The sequence below is a fragment of the Homo sapiens genome, chromosome 4, assembly GCF_000001405.40.
Source record: "Homo sapiens chromosome 4, GRCh38.p14 Primary Assembly".
Classification (NCBI taxonomy): domain Eukaryota; kingdom Metazoa; phylum Chordata; class Mammalia; order Primates; family Hominidae; genus Homo; species Homo sapiens.
Window position 1 is genome coordinate 99,808,204 of NC_000004.12, and position 12,044 is coordinate 99,820,247.

General features: G+C 42.6%; 1 protein-coding gene across 6 annotated transcripts in view; it reads left to right on the forward strand.

Moving 5' to 3' along the window:
• The first annotated feature begins 8,623 nt into the window (after positions 1-8,623).
• DAPP1 (dual adaptor of phosphotyrosine and 3-phosphoinositides 1) overlaps positions 8,624-12,044 on the forward strand; it is a 55,507-nt gene continuing 52,086 nt past the window's right edge. For all 6 annotated transcript variants that reach the window (XR_007096391.1, XM_017008024.2, XM_011531840.3 and 3 more), the window contains exon 1: positions 8,624-8,811. Coding sequence is in view for 5 of the 6 variants with exons in the window: in XM_017008024.2 (XP_016863513.1) it covers positions 8,711-8,811 (101 nt within the window). In the remaining variant the exon portion in view is untranslated. The remainder of the gene's footprint in view (positions 8,812-12,044) is intronic.

A 12,044-nucleotide genomic window follows, 5' to 3' on the forward strand; every position in this document is an offset into this window, starting at 1 on the left:
AGCAGAACTAAGAATTGAACCATTTAAAACTTGGTGAGACAGGTAATAAATTATACCTGAATCATTTAATGGTTTAGTAGTCTGGCGTTTAAGGAATCTTCTACAAATGTGGTGTTGGGTAGTATCACCTGAATTCAGCTACTTTAATAAAGAACTATACTTTCATAGAGAGGAAGGAAAAAGCGATGGATCTAATCTTGACTTCAGGTAAAACAGCTCCCCCGCGCCCACCAACGCGGTATTACTGCCACCTAGTGATAGCATATCCTCATCACAGAGGTCCTGCCTGTGGAAGTGGAGGGGAAGAGGTGTAGTAAGCACAGCCAGTAGGGCGAATCCACAAATTAAATACACCCGGGGGTTGGGGGTGGCGAGGGGAGCGCTAGAGTAAGGCTATATTTTCTATAATGTCCATTCTCATTGCTTCCAGGGCTATTTTAAGAAATATTTATTTTGATGGGGTTTCAAAGTAAGTCATATGAGGACCTGTAAGCCACAGTTTTTACTCCCGCGGAGTTTGTTTTACGCAGGCTTCAAATGGACAAATAACATACATCTGAGGTTCAAGCTTTCTATTAATTTAATGCTGGCCTGGAAAACATTTTGTGATTTAAAAGAAAGCACCAAAGTTAGCTGTATTATTACTGGACTCAGCAAGGAAAGAATTGGGCTCAGTCAGAAGTGCCAGAATCCCTGTAACTAGGGGTGAAATCTCAGGCAAGTATCTTAATAGTTTCCAACCCCACTTGCCCAACCTGTTAAATAGGGGAACTGAAGTAGGTTCCCTCTAAGATGCTCTCCATGAAAAGCTCTAAGACTCCTCTTATTCATTTCTGAAGTCCTACCCCAAGGTAGACCAAACGTTCTGACATTTTGGCTGAGCTGCTCCATTCACACACATTATCATGAACGATTTCAAATTTTACCCATTTTCAAAAGCTGAATCTACCCTGGTGCTTCGTGGAAGCTAAGAATCTGGGAGATATCTCAGCTGGCCAGTTGGTCAAATTATCTTTGTTATTTGCCATTAGCTCCCGTTAGTTAACACAGCAATCTTTTCAGATGAAGTGTGGACAAGAAGACAAAAAGTATTTGGATAGGGCCCACAGGATCCAAAAGTGCGTAACCTTGTTTAATTTCATTTGGTTGAGTTAGCAGCTACTTTTGCAGACTTAAATGCAAAAATGCTGGTGTGTTTGAAGTTTCATTTTTGTCCAGGCTTTCATTACTCAGAAATCAGTGCTGACACAATTAAGCATGACCTTTCCATGCAGATGGTGCCTTGCTTCACCAGCACAAACAGCATCTGCCACACTCACCCACAAGTGCACATGTTTGCATATTTTTAAGACACTGCATCTAAAAATGGTAAAGTAAGTGCTGAAGTAAAGCCTTTGCGGAAGGGAGCATAATATCACTTAATCTGTTTGCATTACCTGTTAAGAAAGCCAGAGTGAAGTTCTAGGAAATTAGGAGACATGCAAAACACAGCACTCTTCTTAAACCACACATGTGCTCTCTTAACATTATTGGAATAATGTATTAACACTGCTCTATCTGAAGGCATGTTGATTTGCTGTGCTAAGAGGTGTTTGGTTAAATATAAATCATCCCCAGCTTCAGCAAGAAAGCCTAATATATATTATGTATGTGTGCAGGATAGCTTCAGCAACCCTGGGTATTTGTTTCTAAAAAGTCACATTATTTCAAAGTTAAAAGGGAACTTAAAAGTGACTTAGAATAACTTTCCTTCTAATATAAGAATCTTTTTTACCAGTGACATACAAAGGTGAGGGGGTGCTTGGGAGCACTTTAATCCCTGGTATAGTCAATAACAATAAAGAAACAGGCTGTGCGTTGTGGCTCATGCCTATAAACCTAACACTTTGGGAGCCTGAGGCGGGAGGATTGCTTCAACCCAGGAATTCAAGACCAGCCTGGAAAGAATGGCAAAATCGTGTCTCTACCAAAAAATACAAAAATAAGCCTGGTGTAGTGGTGCATGCTTGTAGTCCCAGCTATTCAGGAGGCTGAGGTGGGAGGATGGCTTGAGCTGAGGAGGCAGACATTGCAGTGAGGTGAGATCATGCCACTGCACTCCAGCCTGGGTGACAGAGCCAGACACTCTCTAAAAAAAAAAAAAAAAAAAAAAAAAAGAAAGAAAGGGAATAAAGAAACAATGATAATGATAAAACCAATGAGAAGTCATTCTGCTCTTTATTATCACCAGAAACCAGCAATTCTAACCAATGTCAATGACAGAATATACCTCTCAGCAGAGGCAAACCATTCCTCACTCCCTACCAAAAACTGAACATTTGTGTCCCACAAAATTCCTATGTAAAAGCCTAATCCCCAATGTGATGGTATTTGGAGGTGGAGCCTTTGGGAGGTGATTAAGTCATAAGGTCATAATTCTCATTAATGGGATTCATGTCTTATAAAAGAGGTCCCAGGGAACTTCCCAGCCCCTCCCACCATGTGAAGACACAGCAAGAAGACAGCCAGCATCTATGAACCATGAATCAGGCATTATCAGACCCCACATCTGCTGGTGCCTTGATCTTGGACTTCCTAGACTCCAGAAATGTGAGAAATAAATTTCTGTTTTGTGTAAGCTACCCAGTCTGTGGGATGGGGTGGGGAGAGTGACCCAGGACCCCTAGTGATGAAGGTGGGGAGAGTGACCCAGGACCCCTAGAAATGGGGTAAGGGAAGAGTAACCCAGGACCCCTAGGGATGGGGTGGGGAGAGTGACCCAGGACCCTAGGGATGGGGTGGGGAGAGTGACTCAGTACCCCTAGAAATGGGATGAGGTGACAGTGACCCAGGACCCCTAGGGATGGGGTGGGGAGAGTGACCCGGGACCCTTAGGGATGGGGTGGGGAGAGTGACCCACGTTATTCACAGTCATATGAATAAGAAATTCACTTCTGTGTTGAAGTGTTAAATTTTGGGTCTTTCTGAAGTAGCAATTTAGCATACCCTGATGAACACAGGAGAGAATGAGGCAGAGTGAAAAGAACCTTGAGTGAAAATGTTATGTGCTAGTTATTCATCAATTGGCTTCAGCTCCACTTCTGACCTCCTCTCCTCGCCTGGTATCATAGGGGACTGGAAGCCCACAAACTACATTTCACTAATTCCCTTGCCAGCTGTCTTCCAGAAAGAATTTGCTAACAGGAAGACTGGAGAAGGGTAGAAATCTGGGGTTTTTTTGTTTTTGTTTTTGTTTTTTTCTTCCTTAGGCAGTGCTTTCAGCACCATGAGCAGCCTTCAGCAATGGTGGGCAGCTGCATGCTCCAAAAGCCTCAGTCCCAGTTTTCAGCTGCATCAACAGAGTTGTGTCCTTCTGGTCCCACAGACCAGCAGTGGCAGCTAAATGTCTACAGTGGCTTCTCTTTTCTTAACTGGATAGTGACTGATGCACATAAATTCTCTTCCTGGTGCTGCTAATTTCTGACAATTTTCTTAACATTTCTGAGCTCCAATTTTCTTATCTATTAAAAAATAACAAGAATAGCAATACCTGCTCTGTGTCAATAACATAATGTTCATGATATACAAATGAAAATGATTATGAACACTCATAATCTAAAGAAATGTATTTTTATGGATCCTGGTTAAGTTTGCTGTTATTGGTCATGTCTTTCTCTTTCTAGACCTCCAGGAGCCTATTGAATGTTTCTAAATTGTGATCCAGTCAAATATGTTAGTTATTTTTTCATTTGAAAAGATGAATATAGCCTGCACCAACAGGGGGAGCTGTTCTTTTATAACCACTGAGAGTGGCTGTATTTCTTCTTTGAGGGCAAAGCTTTAATTGTTTCAACACCAGCTACTGGGAAATGTCACCAGTGAACCAATTAGCCTGGCTTCCTGAACCATGTAGAACTGATTATCCAAGTCAGGCCGGCAATGGGCTTGGGCACAGGGTATATGGTAGACACAAATGAAGAGTGACCTCAATGTCCCATTAATGTTACTTGACTTGTGCTCACTTGACCTCAGGTTGCTTGTAAAAAAGGTAGGGTCTTAGCCCTTTCTCCCTGAAATCCTCCCCAGTGATTTCTGGGAAGGGCTGGCTTTTTATTTCACTTTAGCTTTCTCGTTAGGTAGGTGACTTTGCATAGTTACCTTCAGTGGATTTACTGTATTATGGTTTTTAGGTTGCTCTTAAAGTGAGAAAAAAATGTGCTTGAGGTAGACCAGGTAGCCCTTTTGATACTTTTAGCCAGGTAATTCTTTATTGTGGGGGCTGTACTGCACACTAGGATATTCAGCATCACTGCACACTAAATGCCAGTAGGCTCCCCAGGTTGTGACAACTAACAATGAAAACCACCTCAAAAATGAGGACCCAATTGAGAACCACCATTTTAGGGGCTATGGATACTATATCAGTGAAGGTTCTCCAGAGAAACAAAACCAATAGTATGTATATATGTGGAGTGTGAGAGTGTGTGTGTGTGAGAGAGAGAGAGGGTGTGTGTGTGTGTGTGTGTGTGTGTGTGTGTGTGTGTGTGTGCGTTGTATAAAATAAGGAATTTCCTCACATAATTATGTAGGCTGGTAAGTCCAAGATCTGCAGGGTGGGCTCACAGGCTGGAGAACTAGTTCAAGTCCAAAGGCTGTCTACTATAGTACCAGGAAGAGTTGATGCTGCAAATGAAGACCAAATGCAGTCTACTGGAAAATTATGTTGCTCGGGGGAGGCTGGTCTTTTGGTTCTGTTCAAATTTTCAACTGGTTGGATGAGGTCCACCCACGTTATAGAGAGCAATCTGCTTTACTCAGAGCCTACCATTTAAATGTTAATTCACTCAAAAACACTCTTATAGAAACACCCCGAATAACATCTGACCAACTATCTGGGCAACCCGTGGTCTGGCCGAGTTGACACGTAAAAGTAACCATCAAAGATATAAGGTGATCAAGACCCTGGAAGTCCCTGCCTCTGGGAGCTCACATTCTAGGCATTGACCCAGATGATAGGCAAGTGTTTCAGTTATCTATCGCTGGCTGTATTAGTCCATTTTCATGCTGCTGATAAAGACATACCCAAGACTGGGCAATTTACAAAAGAAAGAGGTTTATTGGAATTACAGTTCCATATGGCTGGGGAGGCCTCACAATCATGGCAGAAGGCATGGAGGAGCAAGTCATCTTATGTGGATGGCAGCAGGCAAAGAGAGCGCTTGTTCAGGGAAACTCCCATTTTTAAAACCATCAGATCTCATGAGACCTATTCACTATCATGAGAACAGCAGGGGAAAGACCCACCCCATGATTCAGTTATTTCACACTGGGTCCTTCCCACAACATGTGGGAATTATGGGAGCTACAAGATGAGATTTGGGTGGGGACAAGGAGCCAAACCATATCACTGCCTAACAAACCATCCCAAGCTTCATGGCATCAAATAGCAAACATCTTATTAAGTGCATGTATTCTTTAGATCCAAAATTCAAACAGGGCATGGTTTGTCTCTCCTCTTTGATGTCTGGGGCCTCAGCTGGCAATATGCAAACCACTAGGAGAGAGTGATTTGAATGGCTGGAGGCTGGAATCATCTGGGGGCTTCTTCAATCAAGTCTGGCACCTGGACTAGAATGATTCAAGCTGGGATTATCTGGGACTGTTGACTGGAGCACACACATGAAGCATTCCACGTGGCTTGGGCTTCTAGGCATAACAATTATGTTCCTAAGGGGAACCCCTGAAAGTAACATTTGGAGAGTGAGCCTTCCAAGAGACCACAATAGAAACTGCAAGGCTTCTTCTGACCTAGCCTCAGAAGTGATCCAGTGTCACTTCCACCACATTTTATTGGTCACAAGTGAATCACAGAGGCCAGGCCAGATTCAAAGGAGGGGAGTTAGGTGCTGCCTCTTGACAGGGAGCAGCAAGGTCACATTGCAGAAGAGCATGTGGGTTGGGAGATGTATGTGTGTATGTATGTATGTATGTATGTATGTATCTATCTATCTATCTATCTATCTATCTATTTATCTATCATCTATCTACTATCTATCCATCAAGAGAATTTGCCACAAGTAAGCAAATATTCTATATAATTTCAGGTAGAGCTAAAAACAGAAGTGGTATTTAGACTGTTACAGATACAAAGGATCTTCTGGGGTGATAAAAACCATTCTAAAATTGTATTGCAATGATGGTTGCACGACTCTGCAAATTTACTCAAAATTATTGTACACCTAAGGAAAATGAACATTATGATATACAAATTGTACCTCAATATACCTGTTAAATATACAACTAGCATGCCACAGGCACTGAAGGATAAGAACAGACATGATGCTGGCCTTGGTTCCAAAACAAGGTTTTTTGTTTTTTGTTTTTTGTTTTTTTTGAGACGAAGTCTCACTCTGCTGCCCAGGCTGGAATGTAGTGGCATGATCTCAGCTCACTGCAAGCTCTGCCTTCCGGGTTCACGCCATTCTCCTGTCTCAGCTTCCTGAGTGGCTGGGATTACAGGCGTCCACCACCATGCCCGGCTAATTTTTTGAATTTTTAGTAGAGACAGGGTTTCACTGTATTAGCCAGGATGGTCTCGATCTCCTGACCTGGTGATCCACCCGCCTCGGCCTCCCAAAGTGCTGGGGTTATAGGCATGAGCCACCACGCCCGGCCCAGAACAAGATTCTAAATCCCCTTTCAGTTACACAGCAATAGATGTCCCGGGAGGGATGGGCTCCAGCATTTTGTTGAAACTATCTAGCAAGCCTCCTGCAGCTGTTACCACTGCAAAACTAAGTGTGTAGTTAGTGGAGTGGGCGGGGTGGTAGGGATACTGTGAAAAATTGAGTAAATGACAAAGTGGGACAATGACATCAAAGGAGAGGGCAACAGACAGGACAGCAACATGAGGAAGGGCAAAAGGCAGGAAGATTCAGCCAGAAAAGCAGGACGATCTTAGAAAATTCTGCTACTTGTACTTCCAAAAAAGTTAAGAAAAAGAACAACCAGAATTTGCTAAAAATGGGAATGAAATAGATACTAAAACACCAAATAAAGGGCTCTAGAGAGGGAACAGGAACTCTAGTGCCCAGGCTGTTCCCCTGTCACTGCTGTATGCATATTCAGTATCTCCCTGGCCTGCACTGGCCTCTCTGTTCAAGTGGGCCCTGTCCTTCTCTGTGAGCAAACTGTAGCCAAAAGAATTTAAGTGCTCATTTAGTCAGTTATATATGTATTATCAGAGCTTAGTCTTCAGCAGACTGCCTCCAGACACTCAGGAACTTCCCACTGGCAACCAGTGTTACCCGGGTCTCACCGATCCCGGGTGAACAGTGGTAATAGGGAGGAAGATGAAGGATAGAACCATTGCACAGCAGCCTTTTGCAATCATCTAGTCCTTTAGGAACAGTTCTGCTGTGCTGTTTAGTCCTCAGGCCACACTGTGAGAACAAGTTACAGAGCACTGTGGTGAGTGCTGAATGAGTCAGGGAGTAGAGATAGGAAGAGAGAGAGAGAAAGGGAGAGGGAGAGAGAGACCTGTAGGTACATAGAAAAGGCAGGAAGCAACATATGTCCTTGACTCATTTGATACTGCACTTTGTTCCACTTCCCAAGGATTCAGTCACTGCAATTTACCTTTAGCATTCCAGGCAGATAGAATCCTGCTCTACATATGAATCTGGGCACAAAGCCATGCAGGTGTGAGTAAGCCCATGAAGGAAGTGGCACTCAAAGACTCTAGGAGTTCAGGCCAGGTGCAGTGGCTCATGCCTATAAGCCCAGCACTTTGGGAGGCCGAGGTGAGTGTATCACCTGAGGGTGAAACCCTGTCTCTATAAAAACACAAAAATTAGCAGAGCATGATGACGGGTGCCTGTAATACCAGCTACTTGGGAGGCTGAGGCAGAAGAATCACTTGAACCCTGGGAGGTGGAGGTTGCAGTGATCTCAGGTCATGCCATTACACTCCAGACTGAGTGACAGAGCGAGACTGTCTCAAAAAAAAAAAAAAAAAAAGACTCCAGGAGTTCTAATATGCCCCATTAGGTGGGCACCAGAATGGCCCCTTGTAACTTTTTCCTACCTTCTCCTCTCCTAATTCTTTTTCTGTGGAGGAAACAATAATTGTCTCTGAATCATCCCTATTCGGAGCATTGAGGATATATTAGAAGGTCTGGGTAAACAAGCAGAAATATTGCAAAAGTGCTAAAACATCAAACTTCAGGGTCGAATTTGTGGTTTGCTTCTGCTTTTTCTATCCACTCTAAAGGTGTTCCTGATAGAGAAGCTTCCTCAGTGTTCCCTGTGTTGGTGTGTAAGACAGAAAGAAGATGGGGTAAAAGAGTGCACGCATCCTCCACTACAAACCAGAGGCTGATAGCATTAGGGAGAAGCTAGGGTTTGGCCTCACACAAGCAGTTTGCACTGTTGTCCAATCCCAGGTGGGGTGGTTGCCTCTTCATTTCCTTTGATAGCAACCGCCTGTTGCGTGATGTAGTGTGGGTGTCCTCAGAGGTAGCTACCTAAGTTTGCATACTTCCTGACTGACAGAACACTCCTGCCAGTGCCTCCAGGCCAGGGTGGTGGTGTTGGTGGGAGGAGTAAGTAACCAAGTTTCACTTCCTTGCCTTGGAGACTCAGAGCCATAGCAGGCTGCTGTCTCACAGAGCGAGAAGGTGTCAGGAGCAGCCCAGTTGTGTCTCTCTCTCTACCTCTGTGAAGGGCGCGAATGGGCAGAGCAGAACTTCTAGAAGGGAAGATGAGCACCCAGGATCCCTCAGATCTGTGGAGCAGATCCGATGGAGAGGCTGAGCTGCTCCAGGACTTGGGGTAAGGCAGCAGATCTCCTTTCAAAGTACCTAGTGGGTGGACATTGACTCCGCACTCCCACCTGCATGCTTTGATTAATGACTATCTTCAGTGCCTTGTTGCCCTCTGCCACCTCAACCATTTATTTTTTTCCACTTTATTCATTTGTATCTGTTAAGTATCTTCTTGTCTGGGGCTAATTCCATTGGAAAAGCAGGCATTATTTTTCTAGATGTGAAAACAAGTTGGTTGAGAAAATAGGGAAAAAAATCAAATGTTGGACATTCTTTGAGAAGAGGGACAGAATTGGGATATAGAGGTGATGTTGCCTGGCTTCCTTGATGTTGCTCTGGTTTATGAATAAATGCGCTGTTCAAGAGTTTCTAGCACTGACCCAGGGACAGTAAAAGGACTGTGTTTCTGGTAAGATAAACAGAAAGCTTACCCTACTGTAAGGGAGAGGGACTTTTTCAAAAGACAGAGAATGAGGAAGTTCCTGCAACAGTCTCGCTTGTATATTTCTTTCTCCTGATACTGCATTTGTGAGATTTGATATCGTATGTATGTCCAGAGAGCCAACTTTGAGCCTTTCAGTACCAACAATCCAGGAAGAGGATAAAATTTCTGCTTCAAACAGGTAAGCATAGGTAGGTGGAGTCATTGGAGCTCTGTCTTTAAGAAGGGACCCAGATGACAACTCATCCGGGTATTTAATAAGAAACAAGTATTACACAAGAGAGGAATTGGGGATTTCCCAGAGAAACTGCCTAATGCACTGGGAATATCCCAATGAAGGTGGCTTTGACACCTGTGCATGAGGAGAGGCAAAACCTTTACCTTCTGCCTGGACAAATAGCTCTAACTCTTCATAGCAATCCAATGACATAGGAGCTGTTGTCATCTTCATCTTACAAAGGATGAAAACAAGTACCAAACAGGTTTGAATAACTTGCTTGCTAGTCACACATCAATTACATAGCAAAGCTGGGCATCCAACCTACCACAGGCTATGTCCGAAACCAAAGAAAAACCAAAATAGAGTTGAAATCTCTCTGTGTTAAGGCTGCAGAGATTGTATCTTTTTATGTTGTATTACTGTAAAAGTTTATTAATAATTCCTGTCTTTAGATTATAAAACTGAGGTCTCGGAATTGAACTCTACTTTCATTTGGCAAATCAGATAAAACACCTGGAATTTTCATTAAAGAAAACTCCCCTTATTAGGAAGCCAGAGCTCTAGAATCTCTCTATCCCTCTAGATTGAATCCCCAAACAGAAGAGGTAAAAGGCCCTTCTGTGAGCATCCAGCACAGGTGTCACCAAGTCCAAAAGCTAAAGCTGAACTGTGGCCCTCAGTGTCTTATTGAACTATTAAGTTACAATGCTTTACATGTTCTGTTAACTGTATTCCCAGCCCACTGTAATAGAAAACCCCAAAGGAGGAGATAGAGGAATATATTCAATTCTGGTCCTTTAGTTAAACAAACAATCCTAGAACCCAGAGTCTATGGTTGAGTACTGTGGGAACACACTTAGATGACAAAGATGAATTAGATGCTGTCTCTGTGCCCCACCATGATGTCAACAGCAAGAAGCAACTACAGGTGAAACCCACGGGTGGAATAGGACTGTGTCTTTCCTCCATGTGCAAAGAATAGACATTGAATACAAAACTGAGTCACACCACTTCCCTGCAAAAAAAAAAGGGTACATTCATGGCCAGATTTCCCTATTTCAGAAGGCGTGAACAATTAATAAACATGAGGATGATTTCTATAGCAATGGGCAACCTGCAGTTATCTGGGAAAACTGCTCTACAGTCCTGGTTCTTGACCTTGGCTGTGCTCTGGAACATCTTGACACCCAAACCACAGACTTGACAAATGATTTCAGTATCTCTGGGGATGGGTGTTTTCTTGTCAAACTCTCCAAGTAATTCCAAAGTGAGACCCTAGGTTGATGATCACTGCATAGAATATGTATCTACCAAATGCATTAGGTAAATGTGGTCTTGTTTTTCATTTTAAGTCTGTTGGGTGTGTACTTGAATCTTAAAATTACTAATAAATGTTGATATTTTGTTTGTTGGTTTAGGGGCATTTCGATTAGCAACTTTATTGAGGTTATTTTACATATCATAAAATATACCCGTTTCAAGTGTACAATTCAATACTTTTGACTAACTTTACAGAGTGATACAACCATCACCATAAATCAGTTTTAGGACATTTCTGTTCTCCCAAAAAGAACCCTCAGATGTATGGCTTATTTAAGCATACTCAACAGTGTGCTGGAAAAACAGCTGGGAAGAGTTGGGGTGTGGAGAAAGCCCTGATTTCAAGAATTTGCCTAATTCCCTGGTATAAATACTCCCACTATAGACAATTTCAAGCTGCCAACAATTTAACATCATCGAATTGAATATTTAATAATCAACTTGTGCCAGTACTTGCTCCTGCAGCACCTCACTGATACATTTTTTATAGATAACAATTTGAGAACTCTTGACAATGACTTGTTGCCTCTGCCAGAATACTGAACATAACTCGAACATTATAATGACTTTTTCTTTGAACCTTTAACCACTGGCGAGATAGAATCTCTACCAAACCTTCTGATTAATTTAGTTTCCAAAGACCTCCTTAAAAACAAAATGATTTAATGTAATGGATAGATAAAAGGTAGCTGGTTTTAATGACTTAATTTTTCAATTATTTTTAAGAGGTTATTTGAGTAGTTAGATAAATCCTTACGTTTATGTTTTTGATAGACATAAACAGATAAGTTAGTGGTTAAATTACAGAAATAGCAGAAGTCTTTGTTCTTGGGCCTCTGTTTTTTTCAGGCTCTGGAATATGTAAATCCTGTAAATTGAGCCCTGAACTGCAGCAAATCCATCACTTGCCTTTCCAGGACATATACAACTTGCTCAGAGTACAGGTTTATTATTTTCTAAAATACCTAAATCAAGCAACACAGTGCTTTTCCATGTCTCATTTATAGAGTGTCAGCCTAAAATCATTAATTTTCTTTCATCTAAAATACATTAATGTGTCCAGAAGCAAAGGAGAAATAAAACCATCTTAAATTGTTGCTCAGCTTCGCTTACACTTCTCAGGGGAGGGTATGGGCTTAGGGGGAAGAGAGGTGTGGGGAGGGCAAGAAGTGAGGGTGTGGAGAATCAGGGGAGAGGAAGGAGGTGGACCATGAACGAGGAGATGGGTCAGGCTGTTTGCTGCTTGCAAAATGAAAAT